Source organism: Homo sapiens, chromosome 16, assembly GCF_000001405.40.
Source record: "Homo sapiens chromosome 16, GRCh38.p14 Primary Assembly".
Classification (NCBI taxonomy): domain Eukaryota; kingdom Metazoa; phylum Chordata; class Mammalia; order Primates; family Hominidae; genus Homo; species Homo sapiens.
Window position 1 is genome coordinate 19,007,735 of NC_000016.10, and position 27,247 is coordinate 19,034,981.

The window sequence follows — 27,247 nt, forward strand, 5'->3', positions numbered from 1 at the left end:
AGTTTACCCCTCTCATATCACCTCTGTCCCCTGACACCACTCTGTTCTTTTTTTTTTTTTTCATTACACTTATCACTTCCTGGCATAATATTTACTGCCTGTTTATTATTTGATATCCCTCTCCCTCATCTCAGAATATAACTGCCGCGTGAGTAGGGCACTTGCCTTGTTCACTGCAGTTCCCTTAGTTCCAGATATGACATATGGTAGATAGAGTTGTTGAATGAGTATTTGAGATGAGGAAACTGAGTCTTAGAAAGGTTAAGTAACTTTCACAAAGACATACAGCTAATAAGTGACAGAGTGGGGATCCAAACTCAAGCATTTGGCATTGATCATGAAGCTTTGCTGCATAGAAGCTTTGCTGCATAGGGGTAATTGCTTAGGTAATTATGGCTGCCTGCCCCCTCTTCTCCCTGAGTCCTGTCTGTCTCCACTCAGAGTGATCTTCCTGCAACTAAAATCTGATCAGGGATAAAACCCATCTTGAAGGTAGCTTCCCTCCCCTTCAGCAGAAAGCCCGCCTGCCTTAGCCTGCTGCCCAAGACACAGCAAAGCTTGGCTTCTAGCTCTGGCCTGATATAGAAACGATAAGGGTTTTGGAGTCAGCCCTGGCTTTGTCTGCAGTGCTCCCAATCACCAGCTCTCTAAATGCAAGCAAATTAGGAATGTCATTCATTCTGAGTGTCTGTGGTTAGCAGGGCGGTCAAGCTGGCTGAAGACTGGTCTGGAGCGGCCTCAGCTGGGGCAGTCATCCCACATAGTCTCATCTTCCAGCAGGCTAGCTCAGGCTTGTTCTGGCTGGGCTCCAGAGACAAGCAGAAGTCTGCAAGACCTCCTAAGGCTGGGCTTAGAACTGGCCCAGCATCACTTCTGCTGTGTTCTGTTGGTCCAAGCAGATCAGGAGGCCAGCCCAGATCCCATGAATATGTGTGAAGCTCTTAACACCATGCCTGACACACAGGAAATGCTATTATTATTGTTGCTGATGTTGTTGCCATGCATTTGCATGGTATACTTTATGCTTTTTAGAGTTTTATTGAATACATTACTATACCCTACACTGTGGGAGGAAGTTGGAGCAAATATTACCAGCCCCATTTGACAGATATTTAAAATATTTAAAACTTTGGGCAAGTTTAGATAACTTGCCCAAGGCCATGCTTTTAGCTAGTGTCTGTAGCCAAACACTGGAGATCAGATATTGTGCAATTTAAAGCATGTCTGCAAACACATCTGCAGAAAGCGAGCCCATCTGCAGATGATTTCATTGTCCTGAGCACCACTGTGGTAAATAAAATAAGATCAAAATGCTGTCGTCACTGACCCAGGCTAGTAACTATCTGCAAGGTTCAGTGATGATGTCCAAGATCCAAGTTTCCTGCTTGGCTTCCGAACTCACTGGAGTGAATGATGACTTTCTTTTCTTTTACATAGAGAACCTCTCTCTAGACTCCAGTTGCTTCTCTTCTCCACCTGTGAACTTCCTCCAAGAATTGCCAAGCTACCGGTCCATTGCACGTAGGAGAACGACTGTCCATTCCCGGGACAAGCAAAGCGGAACTTTGCTAAAGCCAACCGACTCTTACAGCTCCCAGCTGGAGGACAGAATCGCTGAAAACCTCAGCAGCCATTCTCTTCGAAATTATGCACTGAACATCTCTGAGAAGCGGAGACTAAGGTTTGTTCACTAGCCACCTGGAACCTGCATTGTGTATGTTATGGCCCAGAGGTATGTTTTGTGCGTGAAATGCATTTCCTGAAGAGCTCATATAATTAAAATTTTATTCCTTAGGGTAAGCTAAGCCTCTTTGACAAACATACCTGAATTTTCTTCTCCACTCCTACTGCTTCACTTGACTAGCCTTAAAAAAGAAAAAAAAAAAGACACCCAAACATACTCAACATGTTAGTTTCTTTCCAGGCCGGGCGCGGTGGCTCACGCCTGTAATCCCAGCACTTTGGGAGGCTGAGGCGGGTGGATCACCTGAGGTCAGGAGTTCGAGACCAGCCTGGCCAACATGGTGAAACCTCGTCTCTACTAGAAATACAAAAAATTAGCTGGGCATGGTGGCGGGTGCCTGTAGTCCCAGCTACTCTGGAGGCTGAGGCAGGGGAATGGCGTGAACCCGGGAGGCAGAGCTTGCAGTGAGCCGAGATTGCGCCACTGCACTCCAGCCTGGGGAACAGAGTGAGACTCCAGCTCAAAAAAAAAAAAAAAAAGAAGTTTCTTTCTTTCTTTCTTTTCTTTCTTTCTTTCCTTCCTTCCTTCATTCCTCCCTTCCTCCCTCCCTCCCTCCCTCCTTTCTTTCTTTTTCTTTCTTTCTTCTTCTTCCTTTCCTTTCCTTTCCTTTCCTTTTTCCTTTTTCCTTTCCCCTTCCCCCTTTCCCCTCTCTCCTCTCCCCTCCCCTCCCCTCCCCTCCTCTCCTCTCCTTTTGAGACACAGTTTCACTCTTGTTGCCCAGGCTGGAGTGCAATGGCATGATCTTGGCTCACGGCAACCTCCACCTCCTGGATTCAAGCGATTCTCCTGCCTCAGTCTCCCGAGTAGCTGGGATTACAGGCATGTGCCACCATGCCCAGCTAATTTTGTATTTGTAGTAGAGACAGGGTTTCACCATGTTGGCCAGGCTGGTCTCGACCTCCTGACCTCAGGTGATCCGCCCGCCTTGGCCTCCCAAAGTGCTGGGATTACAGGCATGAGCTACCGTGCCTGGCAGAAGTTTATTTCTTGCTAGCATAAAGTACTAGGTTCAGGTCAGTGGGGGACTTTGCAGCCATTCAGGGACCCAGGCTCTTTCCATCTTGTGGCTCTGCATACCCCTAAAGCCTCATTTTTGTCTGCAACCAAGCAGTACAAAAAGAAAGAGTTTGCAGTATGAGTATACCAGTCAGCTACGCAGCAGAATAAATCACCCCACAACGGAGTAGCCTAAAACAATAGTTTCTCAAGTCTACCAGTCAGCTGGACAAATCCTTCTAGTTTCAGTTGGGCTGAATCTTTATCCATAGTCGGCTGTGGTTGGGGAGGTGTCTCTGCTGATCTAGGCTGGGGATCAGCTGGCTGTAAGCTGGTCTGGGGTGGCTTCAGCTGGGATGATCACATGGTATCATCAGGATAGCTCGGGTTTGTTTGCATGGCAACAGCTGGAGCCCAAGAGAGGATCGGAAGCCTGCAGAACCTCTTGGGACTAGGCTTAAAACCAGCTCAGCTTCCCTCCTACTGCAGTCTGTGGTCTAACAAGATCACAGTCCAGATTCAATCGGTGGGAAAATATTCCTCCCGCTAATGAGAAGAGCTGTAAAGTCACATGGCCACGAGGCATTCACACATTCATTGAGTAATCGGGAGTTTTGGGAGTGGGTTAAGAGCCAAGTCTGAAAGGTGCACATATCACTTTTCTTTACATTTCTACCAGAGAGAATTTAGCCACATGGTCATACCTAACTGCCAGGAAGGCTGGGAAGTGTCTCCAGCTAGTGCCAGAGAAGGGGAGAATGGATTTGGGTGGTAGCTTGCCATCTCCCCCATTCTTGAAGAATTTAAAACATAATTTTCCGATTGACCTGGTGTAATGACAGAGGTGGTTATTTCTGCTTAACTCTCGAATTACTGCCCCCCACAGGGTCAGTAGCATAAATGCATTAGAAAGGTCAGGCAAAGTGGCTCATGCCTGTAATCACAGCAACTTGAGAGGCTGACGCAGGAGGATTGCTTGACAGCAGGAATTCTAGACCAGCCTGGACAGCATAGCAAGACCCTGTCTTTACAAAATAAATAAATAAATAAATAAATAAATAAATAAATAAATAAAATAATAATAATAGAAAAATTAGCTGGGTGTGGTGATGTGTGCCTATAGTCCCAGCTGCTCAGAAGGCTGAGGTAGGTGTATCACTCAAGCCCAGGGCTAGGAGGGCTGCAGTGAGCTATGATTCTGCCACTACCCTCCACCCTGGGTGACAGAGTAAGACCCTGTCTCTATGAAGAAAATAGCAAAACAAAATAACACATTGGATGATACACTGTACCTTGTAGGTTTGAGAATACATTATCTTTGGTTTTATTTTTAATTTGGGTGGTCTTGTATTCTCAAAAAATATTGAGACTTTATAAATGTATTTTAGCTGGCACAGTGGCTTACACCTGTAGTCCCAGCACTTTGGGAGGCTGAGGCAGGTGGATCACTTGAGCTCAGGAGTTCGCGACCAGCCTGGGCAATGTAGTGAAACCCTGTTTCTACTAAAATTACAAAATTTAGCTGGGCATGGTGGTGCACTCCTGTAGTCTCAGCTACTCAGGGAAGATCACCTGAGCCCAGGAGGTTGAGGCTGCAGCAAGCCAAGATGGCACCACTGCACTTCAGTCTGGGTGAAAAAGTGAGATGTTGTCTCAAAAAAAAAAAAAAAAAAAGTATTTTAGTGCTCCCTTTGGCAGCACATATACTAAAATTGGAGCGATACAGAGAAAATTAGCATGGCCTCTGAGCAAGAATGACACACAAATTCATGAAGTGTTCCATATATAAATTTATTTAAAAACCAAATAAATAAATAATGTATTTTATTTCCCACTCTTTCAGATTCACAGATTTTGAATTCTTATAAACTATTACTGCTCTATGCCAAACTCTGCCACACCTAAGAGAGAGACATATTTTCTTCCATCAAGGGACTTCCAGGCTCACTGGAAAAATGAAACTAACAGACTCTCATGAGCAGGGCCCATGTCTATCTGGTTTACCAGTGAATCCCTAGAAAGTGGCAAAGAAGGCTGGGTGCGGTGGCTCATGCCTGCAATCCCAGCATTTTGAGAGGCCAAGGCGGGTGGATCACCTGAGGTCAGGAGTTCGAGAACAGGCTGGCCAACATGGTGAAACCTCATCTCTACTAAAAATACAAAAATTAGCCAGGTGTGGTGGCGGTTGCCTGTTATCCCAGCTACTCGTGAGGCTGAGGCAGGAGAATCACTTGAACCCAGGAGGCGGAGGTTGCAGTGAGCCAAAATCGTGCCACTGCACTCCAGCCTGGGCGACAGAGTGAGATTCCATCTCAAAAAAAAAAAAAAAAAAAAAAAAAAAAAAGAAAGTGGCAAAGAAAAGGACACAGAAAGGAGAAAGGATCATTCTTTTTTTTTTGAGACGGGATCTCGGCTCACTGCAACCTCCCTGCCCCAGGTTCAAGCAATTCTCCTGCCTCAGCCTCCTGAGTAGCTGGGATTACAGGCACCCACCAGCATGCCTGGCTAATTTTGTAATTTTTAGTAGAGACAGGGTTTCACCACGTTGGTCAGGCTGGTTTTGAACTCCTGACCTCAGGTGATCCGCCTGCCTTGGCCTCCCAAAGTGCTGGGATTACAGGCTTAGCCACCGCACCGGGCCAGGAAGGACAATTCTAATTGCTAATAGTTGTTATTCTAAGCTCTTTATTTCCTTTAATCCCCACTCCACCCTCTGAGGCAAGGTTTTCAAATTATTATTATTATTTTATTTATTTATTTTTAGACGGAGTTTCGCTCTTGTTGCCCGGGCTGGAGTGCAATGGTGCGATCTCGGCTCACCACAACCTCTGCCTCCCGGGTTCAAGCGATTCTCCTGCCTCAGCCTCCCTAGTAGCTGGGATTACAGGTATGCACCACCACACCTGGCTAATTTTGTATTTTAGTAGAGACAGGGTTTCTCCATGTTGGTCAGGCTGGTCTCAAACTCCCGACCTCAGGTGATCCGCCTGCCTCGGCCTCCCAAAGTCCTGGGATTACAGGCATGAGCCACCGTGCCTGGCCTATTTTATTTATTTTTTTTGAGACGGAATCTCACTCTGTCACCCAGGCTGGAATGCAGTGGTGCCATCTCGCCTCACTGCAACCTCTGCCTCGCGGGTTTCAGCGACTGTCCCACTTCAGCCTCCTGAGTAGCTAGGATTACAGGCACCTGCCACCATGCCTGGCTAATTTTTTTTATTTTTGGTAGAGACGGGGTTTCACCATGTTGGTTAGGCTCGTCTGGAATTCCTAGCCTCAGGTGATCCATCTGCCTTGGCCTCCCAAAGTGCTGGGATTACAAGCATGAGCCACTGCGCCCGGCCGAGGGAGGGTTTTTTTAACCTTAGCACTCTTGCTTTTTTTTTTTTTTTTTTTTGAGATGGGGTCTCGCTCTATTGCCCAGGCTGGAGTGCACTGGCACCATCTTGGGTCACTGCAAGCTCTGCCTCCCAGGTTCACGCCATTCTTCTGCCTCAGCCTCCCAAGTAGCTGGGACTACAGGTGCCCGCCACCGCACCCAGCTAATTTTTTTGTATTTTTTATTTTGTTTTTAGTAGAGATGGGGTTTCACCGTGTTAGCCAGGATGGTCTTGATCTTCTGACCTTGTGATCTGCCTGCCTCGGCCTCCCAAAGTGCTGGGATTACAGGCGTGAGCCACCACACCTGGCCGCACTCTTGCTTATCGAGATTTGGGGCCAGATAGTTCTCTGTTGTGGAGGGCTGTCTGTGGATTGGAGGATGTTTAGCAACATCCCTGGCCTCTACCCACTAGATGCCAGAAGCATGTCCCCCTCCCCCAAGTTGTGACAATCAAAGATGTCCCCAGACCATTGCCTGATGTTCCTTGGGGGGTATGCAAAATCGCCCCCACTTGAGAACCACTGATCTAAGGGTAGGTACTTTACTAACTCCAAGTTACAGATAAGGAACCCAATGCACAGCACTGCGAGGCTCGTTTGGATGGAAGGTTCAAGTCCTTTTCTTTAATAGGAGCTCCCTGTCTGATGGAGGACAGACTGGTGGGAGGGTGGAGGCGTGTGCCGTGTGCCATATGCCATGGATGGCTGGCAAATTCCTCATGTTTCCTCTCTCGCCTTCAGGCCCCAGCACCTTCTCTTTCCCCTGCTCTCCTTACTCCCTGCTCCAACACCAACTTGGACTTGGGGCGCCTCCTCCAGGTTTCCAGAGCTCTGACCACATCCCCTTTTGTAGCACTTCCCCCAGGGAGCTGTCGTTGTTGGACGTCAGCCTGTTTGCCTTCCCTCCAGACTCAGGATCAGCTTTGTGGGCCGTGTAGTCTCTGTTGCAACTACTTAATTCTCCTGTTGCAGATGGTTCATAAATGAATTGGCATGGCTGTGTTCTAGGAATATTTATGGACACTGAAATTCGAATTTCATGTGATTTTCATGTGTCACAAAATATTATTTTTCTTTTGGCTTTTATTTTTATTATTTTTATTTAATTGTTTTTTTGTTTTTTTTTGATATGGAGTCTCGCTCTGTCACCCAGGCTGGAGTGCAATGGCAACATCTCGGCCCACTGCAACCTCCGCCTTCCGGGTTCAAGCGATTCTCCTGCCTCAGCCTCCCTAGTAGCTGGGATTACAGGTGCCTGCCACCATGCCCACCTAATTTTGGTATTTTCAGTAGAGACGGGGTTTCGCCATGTTGGTCAGGCTGGTCTTGAACTCCTGGCTTCATGTGATCTGCCTGCCTTGGCCTCCCAAAGTGATGGGATTACAAGTGTGAGCCACTGTGCCTGGCCTCCTTGTTTTTTTTTTTGTGACAGGGCCTTGCTCTGTCTCCCAGGATGGAGTGCAGTGGTGAGATCTCAGCTCACTGCAGCCTGATCCCCCAGGCTCAAGCAATCCTCCTGCCTCAGCCTCCCAAAGTTCAGAGATTACAGGCATGAGCCACTGTGCCTGGCCCGTCATTCCTTTCTGAGGTTGAATAATATCCTATTGTGTGGATAGACCACATTTAAAAAAATCCACTTATCTGTCAGTGGACATTTGGATTGTTTCTACCTTTTGATTATTAGCAACAATGCTGCTACGAACACTCAAGACAAGTTTTTTTTTTTTTTTTTGAGACCGAGTTTCACTCTTGTTGCCCAGACTGGCCAACATAGTGCAGTGGCATGATCTCGGCTCACTGCAAACTCCGCCTCCCGGGTTCAAGAAATTCTTCTGCCTCGGCCTCCCAAGTAGCTGGAATTACAGACGCCCACCACCATGCCTGGCTAATTTGTATTTTTAGTAGAGATGGAGTTTCACTATGTTGGCCAGGCTGGTCTCGAATTCCTGACCTCAGGTGATCCACCTGCCTCAGCCTCCCAAAGTGCTTGGATTACAGGCATGAGCCACCACGCCCAGCCTCATGACAAGTTTTTGTTTGAGAGCCCTGTTTTCAATTCTTTGTATGTACCTAGGAGTGGAACTACATGGCACATGGTTATTCTGTTTGACATTTTGACGGACTGCCAAACTTTTTTCCATAGCGGCGGCATTTTATATTCCTTGCAGCAATGTATGAGAGCTCACATATTTCTCTGTCCTTTCAGCTGGGATTTTATGAGATGCTGAGTCTTTCTTTTCTTTTCTTTCTTTTTTTTTGAGATGAAGTTTCACTCTTGTTGCCCAGGCTGGAGTGCAATGGCACCATCTCGGCTCACCGCAACCTCCGCCTCCCAGAGGTTCTTCTGCCTCAGCCTCGTGGAGTAGCTGGGATTACAGGCGCCCGCCACCACACCTGGCTAATTTTGTATTTTTAGTAGAGATGGTGTTTCACCATGTTGGCCAGGCTGGTCTTGAACTCCTGACCTCAGGTGATCCACCTGCCTCGGCCTCCCAGAGTGCTGGGATTACAGGCGTGAGCTACTGTGCCAGGCTGGGATGCTGAGTCTTGATGCTGCTGTTGTTGTCATTGTCATGATCATGTTTTCCATGCAGGGACATTCAAGAGACACAAATGAAGTATCTCTCCGAATGGGACCAGTGGAAGCGGTATAGCAGCAAGTCTTGGAAGAGGTTCCTAGAGAAGGCTCGAGAGATGACGACCCACCTGGAGCTGTGGCGGGAGGACATCCGCAGCATAGAAGGTATGCTGTCCTCACCTCTCTGCAGGCTCCTCCGCAGAAGTCTGTGTCTGGGGAGCAAGTACAGCTTCGTTTCCACTAGGGTCTAGCTGAAATTGAGCATTTCTTTCCATGATGAATGTGAGCAACAAACCACAGCAAGGTTTAGCAGAACCTGTGACTTTGTCACCAGGAAAAATCGTGGATATTTTCCTGTCCCTTCCAGTTGTTGTATTTATCTTGGAATACCGTTAATACCCATGAATACTTGGAAATTTCAGTCATTATTAGACTTCCCACTAGATCTTGTTATTTAATGTGCTAGTGAAGACCAGGCGCAGTGGCTCACTCCTGTAATCCCAGCAATTTGGGAGGCCAAGGTGGGTGAATCATGAGTTCAGGAGTTTGAGACCAGCCTGGACAACATGGTGAAATCCCGTCTCTACTAAAACTACAAAAAATTAGCTGGGCATGGTAGTGCATGCCTGTAATCCCAGCTATTTGGGAGGCTGAGGCATGAGAATCACTTGAACCTGGGAGGTGGACGTTGCAGTGAGCTGAGACCGCACTATTGCACTCCAGCCTGGGTAACAGAGTGAGACTCTGTCTCAAAAGAAGTGCCAGTAAAGGTGCTCATGATGCTCACATAGGTTATTCTATCACACATATTTTTAAAATAATATGATAACTGTATATCTTTTTATCTTATGCATTTAAATGAAATGCATGAATAGTATTATTTAAAAATAATATTAAATTATTTAATAATTTAATTTAAATTAAATGCATAAAATAGTATTATTTAAAAATAATATTAAATTATAATATTTTAATATTAGTAAACTATTATTTCATGCATTAAAATATTATGCATAAATATATTATTTTAAAATGTTATACTTTTAATTTCAATGCATAAAATAAAAACAGACATACAGTTATCATATTATTAAAAACATTATCCCAGCCAGGTGGTGGTTCATGCCTGTAATCCTAGCATTTTGGGAGACTGAGGCAGGAAGAGCATCTGAGCCCAGGAGTTTGAGACCAGCCTGGGTAACAAAGTTTAAGACCTTGCCTCTTCAAAAAACAGTTTTTTTTTTTTTTTTTTTTGAGACTGAATCTTGCTCTATCACCCAGGCTGGAGTGCAGTGGTGCAATCTCGGCTCACTGCAGGCTCCGCCCCCCGGGGTTCACGCCAGTCTCCTGCCTCAGCCTCCCGAGTAGCTGGGACTACAGGTGCCCGCCACCTCGCCTGGCTAATTTTTTGTATTTTTAGTAGAGACGGGGTTTCACCGTGTTAGCCAGGATGGTCTTGATCTCCTGACCTCGTCATCCGCCCTTCTCGGCCTCCCAAAGTGCTGGGATTACAGGCGTGAGCCACCACGCCTGGCTCCAAAAAAAGCTTTAAAAATTAGCTGGATGTGGTGCTATATGCCCATAGTCCCAGCTTCTGGGGAAGCTTAGGCAGGAGGATCACCTGAGCCCAGGAGTTTGAGGCTGCAGTAAGCTATGATTGTGCTATTGCACTCCAGCCTGGGTAACAGAGCCAGACCCTGTCTCAAAACAAAAACATAAATAAACAAACAGAAAGCCTTATTATCCTGAGTCGAGGTTCATCACTTTTACCAAACTGCAAAGAGTTCCTGTGGCCCTGAAAATACTGTGAACCCCTACTTTCCTATAATGGTGAGAATTTGGGATTAAAATATTGTTATTAGTTGGCTTGGGCTGCCATAACAAAATACCGCAGACTGGATGGCTTAAAAAACAGAAACTTTTTTTTCTCATAGTTTTGGAGGCTCGAACAGGCCTTCTTGCTGTGTTCACGTAACCTTTGCTTTGAGTGTGCTCTGAGAAAGAGTGCAAACTCTCTGGTGTCTCTTTTTATAAGGACACTAATCCCATCATGGGACACCACTCTCAAGACCTCATTGAAACCTAATCACCTCCCAAAGGCTCATCTCCAAATACCATGACACTGGGTGTTAGGGCTTCACCATACGAATTTGAGGGTGGGGACACAATTCAGTCCATAGCAAGTATGCAAAAATGGGAAGTTGTGCCAAAATACAAAATTAGCCAGGCACAGTGGCTCATGCCCCCATCCTAGTGCTTTGGGAGGCTGAGGCAGGAGGATCACTTGAGCTCAGGAGTTTGTGACCAGCCTGGGTAACATAGTAAGATCCTGTCTCTATTTAATCTAAAAATAAAAATGAAAATAAAAAAAAACCAAAATACAAAATTAGAAACATTAAACATTTTTTTGATTATCTATTTTATTTTATTTTTTGAGACAAAGTTTCGCTCTTGTTGCCCAGGCCGGAGGGCAATGGTGCAGTCTTGGCTCACTGCAACCTCCGCCTCACAAGTTCAAGTGATTCCCCTGCTTCAGCCTCCCACGTAGCTGAGACTACAGGCACGTGCCACCAGGCCGGCTAATTTTTGTATTTTTAGTAGAGACAGGGTTTCACCATGTTGGACAGGCTGGTCTTGAATTCCTGACCTCAGGTGATCTGGCTGCCTTGGCCTCCCAAAATGCTGGGATTACAGGCGTGAGCCACCACGCCCGGCCAGGATTATCTATTTTACAGCAAAACATTTTTCAAACATCTCCCCAAAACTGCTAAAATGGAAACTTTGTGAGGTTTGTAAGGAATGTAGTAGGATAAACAAAGGAAATGATTGTCTCCATTATTACTATTTTAAGACCTATAAAATACAATTGGCAATCTATCCAATGAGCTACCTTTTTATTGTTGTTTTATTTGGAGAATATAACATATTTCTAAAAGGCTTCTTGGCTCACTTAAGACTTTAACCATGCACTCATACTTTTTCTCTTGAGATTTAAGTTTAACATTATGTTTGGAGCAAAATAATAAAAGCTAACTGTTACTGAACATTTACTATAAACCAGGCATTGTGTTAAGCACTTCACTCATTACCTCAGTTAATCTTCAAAGGAAACTTTCATTTAGGTACTTGTCATTTGCATGGCTCAGAGAGTTTGAGATCTTGTCCAGGTTCACTCAGACAGGGTGAGGCAGAAGCAGGGTTTGAACCCAGGCATTCAAGATGTAGAGTCCAAGGTTTTAGCCACTATGTCTAGCTTCCTCTCTTGTGAAGTGGTAGGCTTTCTTCAGATTTTCATTCAGAAAGTGGCTTGTGTGGTAGACGGTAGGTTCTCCCTGGGAACCGGGATTTTGATTTTCTCTGCAGTTACTCTACCCCTGTGATTTCTTGGCTGGGTAGGTGCTCATCTGACATGAAGTGCAGGTGTGATAATTAAATTTCTTGCCTCTGGCAGATTGCTAAGTATTAGACAGTGGCAAAAAACTGTGGGTATCTTATATCTTCGGTCTCCAGTAATAAGTTCTTTGCCCCTACCAAGAACAAGAAGCCATCCTTGCTCTTCAGAATGCTTTCTATCCTCAGCAATTTAATCATTATCTAGCGGAAGGTTGGTTTTCTATTTGCAAATCAATCGATGTAATTCACCACAAAACAGAATAAAAGAAAAAAAATATGATCATCCCAACAGATGCAGAAAAAGCTCTGATAAACTTCAGTTCTCATTTTTAGCAAATAAGAAGTAGATAAGACCTTTCTTAATTTTGATTTTAAAAACCTATAAACATTATACAGCAAACAACATACTTAATGATGAAATATTGAAAGCTCTTTCCTTGAGATTGAGAATGAGAAAAAGGTGCCGATTATCACAGATTCTATTCAAAATCATCCTGGAAGTTCTAGCCAATGTAGTAGGATGGGCGGGGGGAAGGATAATAATTGGAAAGGAAGAAATAAAATGTCATTTTTTTTTGCAGATGACAATGATATGCATGTAGATAATTAAAAAGAACTATTAATGTTAATGTAACAAGGTTTATTGTTAATGTTAGTGTCTCTATATAAAATGAATTGTATTTCCATGTACCAACAACAAACATTTAGAAAGTGAAATTTTTTAAATGATACAATTTACAATAGTATCAAAAATGTCAGGGCTGGGCGTGGTGGCTCACGCCTATAATCCCAGCACTTTGGGAGGCTGAGGCAGGTGGATCACCTGAGGTCAGGAGTTCGAGACCAGCTTGGCCAACATGGTGAAACCTCATCTGTACTAAAAACATAAAAATTAGCTGGGCGTGGTGGCTCAGCCTCGGGAGGCTAAGGCGTGAGAATTCCTTGAACCCAGGAGGCAGAGGTTGCAGTGAGCTGAGATCACGCCACTGCACTCCACCCTGGGCAACAGAGTGAGACATGGTGTCAAAAATAAATAAATAAATAAATAAATAAATAAATAAATAAAAGCCAGATATCTAGGAATATATCTAAAGAATCATATGCAATAATTATGCACAGAAAACTATAATAGTATTATTGAGAAAAACTAAGGAAGACCTAAATATACCATGTTGATGGATCAGAAGACTTAATATTATAAATATGTCACTTCTCCTCAAATTGACCTGTATATTTTATGTAATCCCAATCAGAATCTTAGCAGATTGCACGTGAAAATTAAAACACTAATTCTAACATTTGTACATAAATGCAAAAGACCAAAGATATCTAAGACAATCTTGAGGAGTAACAAAGCTTAAAGATACCATGTGACAAGTCTTACAAATCTGCAGTAATTAAGACAGTCTAGCATTGGTGTAAGGATAGACATGTAGACCCATGGAACAGGATAGAGTTTAGAAACAGATTCATACATATATGTTCAGGTGATTATTTCCAAAAAAGGCAGCCAATAAATGGTGCTGAGTCAACTAGAGATTCATATAAGGAAAAGATAAATATTGAGCCCTCCCTCATACGATTCTCAAGTGATTAATTCAAGATTGATTGTAGATCTACAGGTGAAAAGTGAAAACACTAGAAGATCGAGTCTTAAAGCTAACAATTGAGAAAAAAATAAAACGTTTCTTCCTCCTTCCAGCTACTGATTCCTCCAGCTTCAGCTTTTGTGGCTGATTGAATCTATGATGTGTAGTGTATCAATATCCCTGGTCAGTGATGTCCGGGTTTGTTTTTTCCAGGGAAATTTGGCACTGGGATTCAGTCCTATTTCTCCTTCTTGAGATTCCTGGTGTTGCTGAATTTGGTGATATTTCTGATCATCTTTATGCTGGTTTTGCTCCCAGTCTTACTCACGAAATACAAGATCACCAACAGCAGCTTCGTGCTCATTCCTTTCAAAGACATGGGTGAGTGTAAGGCCTGGTTTACTACGAAGTGTGTTTGTTTTTCACCATGTACCTTGCTACAATGCTTCCTTTGCTAAGAATCTTTATTCTAATTCTTGGGCGACTGTATTAGTCAGGATGGTCTAGGTTATGCTGCAGAAACAAGTGACCCCATAATGCTCATGCTGCTGTGGAATAACAGCATGCAGGCACGACAGCATAACAGTATGAGACTGTGAGTGAGAAATAACCACAAAGGTTCATTTCTCACTCACAGTCCATGTCCACTGTGTGCTCTGGAGCCCAAGCTGATGGAGCAGCCTCTATCTGGAGCATTGATAGTCACACATACAAGCAAAACACAAGCTCTACATGTGGACTTACATACAAAATATGTAAAAAAGACATATCCCCAGATGTGTGGGGAGAATAGTGAAGGAAACATTAGAAGTAGAAGGAGAAAGAGATGTTACTGTATTGGACACATTGGGGTTTGGACTGAAAATGGCAAATCACAAATACACAAACATATCTATGTGCAAATATGCAAATATATATGACATTTCTAAATGTAATATACATATACAGTCATGTACCCCATGTCAATGTTTCAATTAACAATGGACCACATATGCAATGGTGGTCCCCTAAGATTATAATACTGGATTTTTGCTGTACTTTTTCTTTGTTTAGATATGTTTAGATACACAAATACTTAACATTGTGTTGCAGTTACCTACAGTATTCAGTGCAGTAATGTGCTGTCCACGTTTGTAACCTAGGAGCATAGGCCATACCATACAGCCTAGGTGTGTAGTAGGCCATCCCATCTAGGTTTGCGTAAGTCCACTCCGTGATGTTCGCATGACGAAATTGCCTAAGGACATATTTATCAGACTGTATCCTCCTCGTTAAGCCATGCATGACTGTACATGCTTATACACACAAATAGTGAAAAACAGGCAGGCTGTGGCCGGGTCCGGGGGCTCACGCCTGTAATCCCAGCACTTTGGGAGGCTGAGGTGGGTGGATCACCTGAGGTCAGGAGTTCAAGACCAGCCTGGCGAAACCCCATCTCTACTAAAAATACAAAAATGAGCCAGGTGTGGTGGTGAATGCCTATGATCCCAGCTACTTGGGAGGTTGAGGCAGGAGAATCGCTTGAACCCAGGAGGCAGAGGCTTCAGTGAGCCAAGATCACGCCATTGCACTCCAGTCTGGATGACAGAGCGAGACTCCATCTCAGAACAAACAAACAAACAAACAAACAAAAAAACCAGGCAGGTTATAGAGACTAAAACTGTTTCCACTGACATTCTGGTTTTTGTTTCTTACAGATAAACAATGTACAGTCTATCCAGTAAGCAGTTCTGGACTCATTTACTTTTACAGTTATATCATAGACTTGCTTTCTGGCACTGTAAGTATTTAACATAATCCTTTGTTTAGCTCCTCAATCTACTAAAAATTGATTGATTTAAAGATCAGTTTCCCAAATTTCTGCAGTGAGAGCTAAACACAAGTGTTGGTTGACACATGTACCAGTAAATGAAACAGGATTTGCAGTTACCTCATCAGAAAGAACAATGTTCACCATCGCCTGTTAGAATGTCAGGAAATATGCTTTATCACTTTCGGCCATTGGCCTTTTTCTAGTCCTTTCTTTTTATTTATTATTATTATTTTTTTGAGATGGAGTCTCGCTCCGTCGCCCAGGCTGGAGTGCAGTGGTGCAATCTTGGCTCACTGCAATCTCTGCTTCCTAGGTTCAAGTGATTCTCCTGCCTCAGCCTCTCGAGTAGCTGGAATTACACGTGTGTGCCACCACGCCCAGCTAATTTTTGTATTTTTAGTAGAGACGGAGTTTCACCATGTTGGCCAGGCTGGTCTGGAACTCCTGAACTCAGGTGGTCCACTCTCCTTGGCCTCCCAAAGTACTGGGGTTATAGGCGTGAGCCACCATACCGGCCTCTAGTCCTTCAATCTTTGTATTGATCTGCAACACAATACCGAGGTCCCCCACAGAAAGAAGCTTCAGTGAAAATGAACCCAGATAGAATGTTTACAATTTCTCTGACACCGATAAACCCCAACATTTTGGAGTCCCAGACTGGATGGATGAAAGACATAGCTCTTCTTTCCAGAAATTACACACAGGGACATGTGCGATGCACAACCTCACACTTTCAGATGATATGCACATATACCTGCATATCATGTACATGGGCGTATGAAGATTCTCTGAAATCCCTTATAAGTCAATCCAAGGTTAACATCCCCCACCACCACCCCAACTCTAAAATGGACTTAATCTCTTTGCTTTTATGGTAGTTGTAAAAGGTTTTTATTATCGCCTTCTAAAGAAATGATTTTGGCCAGGCGCAGTGGCTCACACCTGTAACCCCAACACTTTGAGAGGCCGAGGCAGGAGGATTGCTTGAGGCCAGGAGTTTGAAACCAGCCTGGGCAACATATCTCTACACAGAATAAACAGAATTAGCTGGGCGTGGTGGCGTGCACCTGTAGTCCCAGTTACTCTGGAGGCTGAGGTAGGGGAATCACATGAGCCCAGAAGGTTGAGGCTGCAGTGAGCCAAGACTGAACCACTGCACTTCAGCCTGGGCAACAGAGCAAGACCCCATCTTAAAAAACAGATTTTGTGGTTTTTCATTTTTTTATTTCACTTTTTTCATCAAATAAGATTGCAGCTATGAAAAGTGGCTATCTTTGCCCTTTAGACCAGGGTTTTTCAAACTTGGCACTATTGATATTCTTTTTTTTTATTTATTTTTTATTTTTTTAGAGATAGGATCATGCTCTGTTGCCCAGTTAGAGTGTAGTGGTGCAATTGTAGCTCACTGTAATCTCAAACTCCTGGGCTTAAACGATTTTCCCAAGTAGCTAGGACTACAGGCGTGCACTACACTTGGCTAAAAGCAATGAGATTTTGGCTCAGTGTGGTGGCTCACACCTGTAATCCCAGCACTTTGGGAGGCCGAGGTGGGTGGGTCACAAGGTCAGAAGATCGAGACCATCCTGGCTAACACGGTAAAACCCCATCTCTACTAAAAATACAAAAAATTAGCAGGGCGTGGTGGCGGGCGCCTGTAGTCCCAGCTACTCGGGAGGCTGAGGCAGGAGAATGATGTGAACCCGGGAGGCGGAGCTTGCAGTGAGCCGAGATTGCACCACTGCACTCCAGCCTGGGCAACAGAGTGAGACGCTGTCTCAGAAAAAAAGCAATGAGATTATAAGTACTGGGGGAACAGGCATGAGCCACCGTGCCCAGTGGATTAGATAACTCTGTGTTGTGTAGAGCTATCTGGTGCACAGTAGCATGCTGAGCTGTATCCCTGGTCTCTACCCACTAGATGCCAGCAGCACTGCCCTCTTCCAACTCTGACAACCAAAAATGTTTCCAGAGATTGCCAAATGTTTCCTAGTGGACAAAATTACCCCCAGATGAGAACCACTGCTCTAGGTGTTTAAGAAATACAAATAAGTATTTTTATTTTTTCAGAAATACTTTCTGAAAATTACTGGTATCAAAATACCATACCGGCCGGGTGCGGTGGCTCATGCCTGTAACCCCAGCACTTCAGAGAGGCCAAGGCGGGCAGATCACCTGAGGTCAGGAGTTCAAGACCAGCTTGGCCAACATGGTGAAACCCCATCTCTACTAAAAATGCAAAAATTATCCAGGCATGGTGGCGGGTGCCTGTAATCCCAGCTACTTAGGAGGCTGAGGCAGGAGAATTGCTTGAACCTGGGAGGCCGAAGCTGCAGTGAGCTGAGATCACGCAACTGCATTCCAGCCTGGGCAATGAGAGGGAGAGTTTGTCTCAAAACAAAACAAAACAAAACAAAAAACAAAAAAACAAATAAACAAATGCCATACCATTGAGCTTCTACTTTTCTGAATAAATTGGTAGAAAGCCTTGAATTTGTCCACTGCATTTGATTTTGAAAAAGCCCCCCACCCTTTTTTTTTTTTCTTTTTGAGACAAGATCTGGCTCTGTTGCTCAGAGAGTGCAGTGGCACAATCTTGGCTCATTGCAACCTCTGCCTCCTAGGCTTAAGCCATCCTTTCACCTCAAGCCTCCGAAGTAGCTGGGACTACAGGTGCATACCCCCATGCCCAGCTAATTTGTGTGTGTGTGTATGTGCGTGTGTTTGTTTTGTAGAGACAGAGTTTTGCCATGTTGCCTAGGCTGGTCTCGAGCTCCTGAGCTCAAGCAATCCACCTGTCTCGGCTTCCCAAAGTGCTGGGATTACAGGTGTGAGCCACTATGCCGCACCTGATTTTGAAAAAACCCTTTTACATCTCTGATCTCACGTTTTCCTAAAAACAACCCAGGGGAATTGTTGGGTGGGTGTTCAAATGTCTACTATGCAAAAAAAGTTAAAAAAAAATAGATGGCTTGGCACAGTGGCTCACGCCTGTAATCCCAGCACTTTGGGAGGCCGAGGCGGGTGGATCATGAGGTCAGGAGATCGAGAGCATCCTGGCTAACACAGTGAAACCCTGTCTCTACTAAAAATAGAAAAAAATTAGCCAGGCGTGGTGGCAGGCACCTGTAGTCCCAGCTACTTGGGAGGCTGAGGCAGGAGAATGGCGTGAACCTGGGAGGTGGAGCTTGCAGCGAGCCGAGATCATGCCACTGCACTCCAGCCTGGGCGACAGAGTGAGACTCCGTCTCAAAAAAAAAAAAAAGAAAGCAAAGTTAGGATCAAATCCCAGAGCTGCTGTTAACCCCATTTCTTTAGATTACATCCCACAAGAAAAGTTTCTGTTTGTGAAAAAAAAAAGTTTCTTCGCACACTGTAACCTTCTTCCTGATAGGAAAAATTTTATAGGAGAGTTAGCTGCGCTTAATTATAGATGTTCAATAAAGTAAGCATGATAACAGCCTGTCTGAAAGAGAACTTTCTGCAATGATCTGGAGAATGTGGACCTGTGCTGTATAACAATGGAACCACTAACTCTTTTTTGTTTGTTTTTTGAGACAGATTCTTGCTCTGTCACCCAGGCTGGAGTGCATTGGCATGATCTCGGCCCACTGCAACCTCTGCCCCCTGGGTTCAAGCGATTCTCCTGCCTCAGCCTCCCAAGTAGCTGGGGTTACAGGCGCCCACCACCACACCCAGCTAATTTTTGTATTTTTAGTAGAGACAGGGTTTCACCATGTTGGCCAGGCTGGTCTTGAACTCCTGACCTCAAGTGATCCACCCACCTCGGCCTCCCAAAGTGCTGGGATTACAGGCATGAGCCACCACACCTGACCTTTTTTTTTTTTTTTTTTTTTTTTTTAAAGACAGAGTCTCGCTCTGTCACCAGGCTGGAGTGCAGTGGTGCAATCTTGGCTCACTGCAACCTCTGCCTCCTGGTTTCAAGCAATTCTTGTGCCTCAGCCTCCCAAGTAGCTGGATTACAGGTGTGTATGATGACGCCCAGCTAAATTTTGTTTTTAGTAGAGACAGGGTTTCATCATGTTGGCCAGGCTGGTCTTGAACCCGTGACCTCAAGTGATCTGCCTGCCTCAGCCTCCGAAAGTGCTGGGATTACAGGTGTGAGCCACTGTGCCCGGCCCAGAACCACTAACTCTTGAGCACTTGAAATATGTCTAGTGTGGCTGGGAAACTGAATTTTCATTTAATGTTATTGTTAATAATATAAATGTAAATAGGCACAAGTGAAAGAGGGCCAGAGAGATCAAACAGGGGCTTGTTTTTCTTAAAAACAATTGAACCAAGCTCATTATCAAATCAGAAAATATTTTCCAGGCCCAGCCGACCTTTCCCCTGTAATTGTTACATTATTTTTAGGGAGAGGTTGGTGACAGCCCTGATATCAGCCCTTGGCAGTATAAACAGGTTTCTTCTGGTTGGACACGTTTTTATGGCCTTTGGGAGAGTTGAAAGGAGAATGGAGTCTTCTGCTTCTACTTTTTCTTTTCCAGTTAACACATGACTTAATTACCCAGATAATATAAGAATGCACGGTTGTCTTGTATAATTTTAAAATACAGATATGCACAATTGTATAACGTAAATATGCTCAGCTTCAATAAATTTGTTTTAAGAAGACACACACACACACACAAGAATGCACAGTTGTCATGAAAAATACAGAATTTATAGAGTAAAAAATGAAAATATCCCTCCCCAGAGGTCACTGAACATTTAACCCCATGGTTTACAGCCTACTTGACCGCTGACCTTTCTCTGTGCACTTACATGGTCTTGCTTGATATTTCATAATATGGATTTTTAGTGTTCTAGCCCAATCCCTGTATGGACATTCAGATTTCCTCTCATTTCCTTCCTTTATAAACAATGCTGTAGGGAACCTCTATGTATTATCTACCTACAATGTTTCTGCTATATCTGTTCTCTTCTTCACTCTCCTGGAGTTTTCCTGCCATCCAAGGAGGTGTTTGAGGTGTTCAATCATTCCCACCATAAGAAGTCAGTCAGCCGGGCACAGTGGCTCAAAACCTGTAATCCCAGCACTTTGGGAGGCTGAGGCTAGAGGATCATTTGAGCCCAGGAGTTGGAGACCAGCCTGGGCAACATGGCGAGACCATATCTCTACTTTTTTATTTAAAAAAAAAGAAGGAGAAGAAGTCAGAGAGTGTTCTGAGCCACCAGGCCTTACTGTTCTTCTTCTTCAAAGTTGTTTTGGCTCTTTTTCTGGGTGTGTTGCGATTCCATATGAATTTTAGGATCAGCTTGTCAGTTTTTCTATAAGGAAGCCAGCTAGGATTCTAACAAGGATGATGTTGAATCTGTAAATCAATTTGAGGAATTTGGCCATAGATCTTCTGATCCATAAACATGGGATGTTGTCCGTTTCTTTAGAGCTTCTTTAATTATTATTATTATTATTATTATTTTGAGACAGAGTCTCGCTCTGTTGCCCAGGCTGGAATGCAGTGGTGTGATCTCGGCTCACCACAACCTCTACCTCTCGGGTTCAAGTGATTCTCCTGCCTTAGCCTCCCGAGTAGATGGGACTACAGGCACATGCCACCATGCCCGGCTAATTTTTGTATTTTTAGTAGAGATAGGGTTTCACTGTGTTGGCCAGGCTGATCTTGAGCTCCTGACCTCATGATCCACCCGCCTCGGCCTCCCAAGGTTCTGGGATTACAGGCATGAGCCACTGTGCCCGGCCGAGATTTGCACTTTTTAAAAAAAAATTTTTAATTGTTTTATTTTATTTTATTTATTTATTTATTTATTTTGAGACAGAGTCTTGCTCTGTCACCCAGGCTGGAGTGCAGTGGCACAATCTCGGCTCACTGCAAGATCCGCCTCCCGGGTTCACACCATTCTCCTGCTTCAGCCTCCCGAGTAGCTGGGACTACAGGCGCCCGCCACCACACCCGGCTAATTTTTTGTATTTTTAGTAGAGACGGGGTTTCACTGTGTTAGCCAGGATGGTTTTGATCTCCTGACCTTGTGATCTATCCGCCTCGGCCTCCCAAAGTGCTGGGATTACAGGCATGAGCCACCGTGCCCGGCACGAGATTTGCACTTCCTTAGTTAAATTTAGTCCTAATGTTTTATTCTTTTCGATGCTATGGCACATGGAATTTTATTCTTAATTTCAGTTTTGGCTTGTTATATTTGCTTTTTTTCTTTCAGAGACAGGGTCTTGCTCTGTTACCCAGTCTAGAGTGCAGTAGCACAAACACGGCTTATTCCAGCCTCCTGAGCAGCTGGGACCATAGACATGCACCTCTATGCCTAGCTAATTTTTTTAAAAAAAATTTGTAGAGATAGGGATCTCTCTGTGTTGCCCAGGCTTGTCTGAAACTCCTGGGCTCAAGTAATCCTCCTGCCTCGGCCTTCCAAGGTGCTGGGATTACAGGTGTGAGCCACCACGCCTGGCCATCTGTGCATTTTTTTTTTTTTTTGAGATGGAGTCTCATTCTGTTGCCCAGGCTGGAGTTCAGTGTTATGATCTCAGCTCACAGCAACCTCTGCCTCCCGGGTTCAAGTGATTCTCCTGCCTCAGCCTCCCGAGTTCAAGTGATTCTCCTGCCTCAGCCTCCCGAGTAGCTGGGGTTACAGGCGCGCAACACCAGGCCCAGCTAATTTTTTTGTATTTTTAGTGAAGACGGGGGTTTTGCCATGTTGGCCAGGCTGGTCTTGAACTCAAGACCTCAGGAGATCTGCCCGCTTTGGCCTCCCAAAGGGCTGGGATTACAGGCGTGAGCCACCTTGCCCGGCCCACCTGTGCATTTTTAATGCCAGGGTTTTATCAGTGCTTTATTTACCAAACACTGAATACTCCCTGTGCCTCTGGGGCTGTTCCAGTCTCTGGGGATACAGAGAGGAAAGGGGACACTGGAACTTGTGTTCCTTGAGGCAGGGACTACTCTTCTGGTTCCCTGCAGTAAGCTGACCAGTCTGACTTCATGCTCTTGGCTTCGTTTCAGGGTTTCCTGGAGGAAACTAGCCTCTTTTACGGACATTACACCATTGATGGGGTGAAATTTCAGAACTTCACCTATGATCTGCCCCTGGCGTATTTGTTAAGCACAATCGCCTCCCTGGCCCTGAGCCTTCTTTGGATAGTGAAAAGGTAAAGTCTGCCTTTGCATTCTCTCTGAATTACCCCTGATGGCTGGAGGCTATTGGAGATATGGGAGCTCTGGAAGCCATTGCCTAAAGGATGAGTGGAGTCCAATGATGGGTTTTGTGGGGAAGGGTTTGTGAGTCCATTGGCAGCTGAAGAGACCTGGGAGAAATACAAGTCAGGATTTGGGATGGAGTAGCAGACTGAGGTTCTTCTTTTTTTTTTTTTTTTTCCAGACAGAGTCTTTCTCTGTCACACAGACTGGAGTGCGGTGGCGGGATCTCGGCTCACTGCAACCTCTGCCCCTCAGGTTCAAGTGATTCTTGTGCCTCAGCCTCCTGGGTAGCTAGGACTACAGGAACGTGCCACCATGCCTAGCTAATTTTTGTATTTTTAGTAGAGTTTCACCATGTTGGCCAGGCTGGTCTTGAACTCCTGACCTCAGGTGATCTGCCTACCCTGGCCTCCCAAAGTTCTGGGATTACAGGTGTGAGCCACCGCACCTAGCCTGGGGTTCTCCACTCAATCATTACTGAACACATCTGGCAATCCCACCCCACTGCACACATACCCCTTCCTTTGCTTAGGTGTGTATATTAACTAGGTCTCTACTGGGTTGTAAGTAGCAGAAACCTAGCTCTGAGGGTTATTGAGTGGCTCACAGATCCAAGGAAGGGAGGAAACTCAAATTACAGGAAGGACAAAGATGGAGCCATGGCTTAGGAACGATATCAAAAGTAAGAATCCCTCGTCTTCAATTCTTAGGTGTAGTGGTGCCTTTCTTAAATGGTGGGAAATAGGGCATCTTATAGTTTGCATCAGCCTTGACCTCCTGGGTCACAGGTGCAGAAATCCTTAGAAAAGACTTGTTGTATCTGCTTCATTCAGGTTCCCAGCCGTGACCCTTCCACCGTTGCCATGGGGAGCAGTGTGTCTGCGATGAGCCCCTGGTGGTTCAAGTGCCCAGCACTGTGCGAGCACTTCAGCTGTGGCCAGGGGCTGGGGTCCTATGACAACATGACTTTTCCTGTGGGAGACAAGTGGTTTAGGGAGAGAGAGCAATTCCCAAGAAAAGAGAAGAGTATTAATTCCCTTAACAAACAACAGGTACAAAAGGCACAAAGACCCAAACACAATAGAAATTTTATTTCTTCTTTATTAGCTGGGCGTGGTGGCACACACCTGTAGTCCCAGCTGCTTGGGAGGAGGAGACAGGAGAATCACTTGAACCTGGGAGGCGGAGGTTGCAGTGAGCCAAGATCGTACCACTGCACTCCAGCCTGGGCGACAGAGCGAGACTCTGTCTCAAAAACAAACAAACAAACAAAACAAAAACAAAACCTGTATTTCTCTTTTACATGACAGTCCTGGGTGGGGGCACAGGTTAGTGTGGTAGAATTCATCTTATAGTATTCTAGGACTAAAGTTGACCAAAGTTCAGCCATCTTCAGCATGTGGCTTCGAAGGTCCTGCCAAGGGATGGGAAAGGAAAACTCACGGAGGAGAACCATGCGGATGGTATTTATAGGCCAGACCTGGAAGTGGTGTACATCACTCACATCCCATTGGCTACAGCTCAGTCACATGACTATAGCCAACTGCAAGGGAGGCCAGGAAACATTGCTTCTGGCTGGGCAGCTATTTACCCAGCAGTGACACTGTATTATAGAAGATGGACCACAAATTTTTGATGGACAGCTTGCCATCTCTGCGCCAGGGGGGTTGCTTGGCAGACAGTATCATGGATGGGCCTCTTTCTTGCCCACTTGATTGTCCCTGTGAGAGCATGCACAGTGTTGTAAGCCATGGAGCTGTGAAGCTCCTTATCACAGGTGCAGAAGAGACCAGGGTGCTGTGGATTGATCTGGCCCTCCATAAGGACCAGGATTCACCATTGCAAAGAAAACCCCAATGCCCAGCTGGGCACTTGTATCCTGAGTTAGAATCTGTGAGATGAACGTGAACTAGTGAGCGTCCATCCCCCACCCAAGTGTACTATGTACAAATGAGAAGCAGCCTCAGGCTGCTTTTGAGGGGCAAAGAGATGCTTGGTAAAGAAATATTGGTTGATTGGGGTTCCGTGATTGTGCCAGGGGAGATCCAAGTTTTATGGACCTACAGGGTAGACAATTTGGAAGTGCCATCTTTAAGACAAAGAGTATGAAAATATGTTTTGTAAATGATAAAAAAAAAAAAAAAGACCATAGGGACACATTGCTAGAGTCTTCCAAAGCCTTGGAGGGGGCCCTGAAGAATGAAGAAGGTTTTTTGTTTTTGTTTTTCAAGACGAGTCTTGCTCTGTCACCTAGGCTGGAGGGCAGTGGCATGATCTTGGTTCACTGCAACCTCTGCCTTCCGGGTTCAAGCAATTCTTCTGCCTCAGCCTCCCAAGTAGCTGAGATTACAGGTGCACGCCACCACGACTGGCTTAATTTTTGTATTTTTAGTAGAGATGGGGTTTCACGACGTTGGCCAGGCTGGTCTCGAACTTCTGACCTTGTGATCCACCCACCTCGGCCTCCCACAGTGCTGGGATTACAGGCGTGAGCCACCGCACCCAGCCGAATGAATAAGGTTTGTTAGTTGCACAGCGAATCTACCTGTGAATCTCGTTCAAGCTCAAGGGCTTGATTGCTTTCTGGGGAAGGTCATGGAGGGAGGGCTGGGTGTGATGTAATGGGAGAAAGGCCTGCTGTGGCCCAGAAAGTGGATGTGCCACAGAGTGACAAAGAGTATGGACTTTGTAGGCCAGAGACCATCGCTGGAATGCCAGTTCACCTCTTTGAGCCTCATTTTCTTCATCTGTGAAATGTGCATCCTGGAAGGGTTGCTGGGAGGATTAACATAAACTAGGCAGGTGAATGAAATCTTAGCACTCTGCCTGGCACCTTATAGACATTTATGAAGTTAAAATTATCATCATCATCATCCTTATCATCAAAGTAGCACCAGTTCTGCCACCTAACTCTCTGGATATAGGGAAATAATTTTCCTTCCTCTGGATCTTAGTTTTCTCATCTGTAAAATGTAGTTCTGGGTCAGGCCCGGTGGCTCACACCTGTAATCCTAGCACTTTCTGAGTACAAGGTGGGTGGATCACTTGAGCCCAGGAGTTCAAGACCAGCTCTGGGCAACATGGCAAAACCCTATTTCTACAAAAAATACAAATAATTAGCTAGGTGTGGTAGCGTGTGCTTATAGTTTGAGCTATGCGGGAGGCTGAGGTGGGAGGATCACCTGAACTTGGTGAGGCTGAGGCTGCAGTGAGCCATGATCACACTGCTGCACTCCACCCTGGGTGACAGAGTGAGACCCCATCTCAAAAAGTAAAAAATAAAATAAAATGTAGGTCTGGTCTGAATCAGAGGCTTGCAACTGAGATGGGTCAGCATGAGCTTTATAACATGGCATATTTCTGGAGCCCACATGAGACCTATCGAATTGAAAATCTCAGGTAAGAAACCATTTGGGAACCTGGATTTGGGGAAAGCACTCCATGTTGTTCTGACATAAATTATTTGCTGTAATCCTTTGGCAGAATGACTGATCATAACAATTCCTTCCATTTCTATTGTCTTCATGCCTCACTGGCAAATCCTAAAAATAACCTCTTTCATCTACAGAGGACTGTGCATGGCATCTGGTGTTTTATACCAAGTGCCAGGTGTATTTTTTCCATGAAAGCATTTGAATGAATAAAAATATGCAACAGAATTGTATCTGACCTAAACAGGTGCTCACTAAATAGTTAATTTAAGTCATTTATTCATTGCTTTATCCATCAGTTGCATGTTAACCAAAGTATATAGTCCATATAAAGGTGGCAAGATAGCCAGGGTACCTGCTCTCAAGGAATTTAAAATTTAGTTAGAGTAAGGAGTTACAAGCAGTAAACAGATGAATAAGATAATTGCAAGTTAGTGTCATTCCTGTGAATTAAATAAAAGGGATTGGGCTAGGTGCGGTGGCTCATGCCTGTAATCCCAGCGCTTTGAGAGGCCGAGGCGGATGGATGATGAGGTCAGGAGATCGAGACCAGCCTGGCCAACCTGGTGAAATCCTGTCTCTACTAAAAATACAGAAAATTAGCTGGGCGTGGTGGCAGGCGCCTGTAATCCCAGCTACTCGGAAGGCTCAGGCAGGAGAATCGCTTGAACCCGGAAGGTGGAGGTTGCAGTGAGCCGAGACTGCACCACTGCACTCCAGCCTGGGCAACAGAGTGAGACTCCATCTCAAAAATAAATAAATAAGTAAATAAATAAATAAATAAATAAAAGGGACTGACTTGAAGTGGGGGTTATAGCCTTAGATGGGGAGGTGAGGGATTATAAAGGGGTTATTTGAGCCAAAACCTGAAGGATGGGAAGGAGATCAGCCATAGGGAGGGTCAGAGGAGCACCATCCTTGGGGATGGTAGTGGGAATTCCCAAGGGTAGAGTCCCAGAGGCAGGAACAGGAATTTGTGTGTTTATAGAAAGGAGAGAAAGCAAGTATAGTTACATGGGAGGAGAGACGACAGCAGAGCTGGATCATATAGGATATCTAGGCTGTATTAAGGAGTTTGGATTTTAAAAGAAAATGAATCGTTCTACCAAAAAGACATATGCACTCGTATATT

The 27,247-nt window shown here is 44.9% G+C and overlaps 1 protein-coding gene and 1 pseudogene across 9 annotated transcripts in view, besides 1 other annotated feature; both read left to right on the forward strand.

Annotated features, from left to right (window-relative positions):
• TMC7 (transmembrane channel like 7) overlaps nucleotides 1-27,247 on the forward strand; it is an 80,009-nt gene that overhangs the window by 23,801 nt on the left and 28,961 nt on the right. For all 9 annotated transcript variants that reach the window (NR_136733.1, XM_047434662.1, NM_024847.4 and 6 more), the window contains 5 exons: nucleotides 1,438-1,681; nucleotides 8,716-8,864; nucleotides 13,895-14,062; nucleotides 15,379-15,461; nucleotides 22,490-22,635. Coding sequence is in view for 6 of the 9 variants with exons in the window: in NM_024847.4 (NP_079123.3) it covers nucleotides 1,438-1,681; nucleotides 8,716-8,864; nucleotides 13,895-14,062; nucleotides 15,379-15,461; nucleotides 22,490-22,635 (790 nt within the window). In the remaining 3 variants the exon portion in view is untranslated. The remainder of the gene's footprint in view (nucleotides 1-1,437; nucleotides 1,682-8,715; nucleotides 8,865-13,894; nucleotides 14,063-15,378; nucleotides 15,462-22,489; nucleotides 22,636-27,247) is intronic.
• On the forward strand, nucleotides 4,423-4,529 carry RNU6-1340P (RNA, U6 small nuclear 1340, pseudogene; annotated as a pseudogene).
• Nucleotides 22,053-22,597: an enhancer, noted in NCBI's record as "H3K27ac-H3K4me1 hESC enhancer chr16:19041109-19041653 (GRCh37/hg19 assembly coordinates)". NCBI's record gives its function as "activates a minimal SCP1, AML or CMV promoter by ChIP-STARR-seq in primed H9 embryonic stem cells {active_cell/tissue: H9 hESC(primed)}" and the evidence as "EXISTENCE:reporter gene assay evidence [ECO:0000049][PMID:30033119]".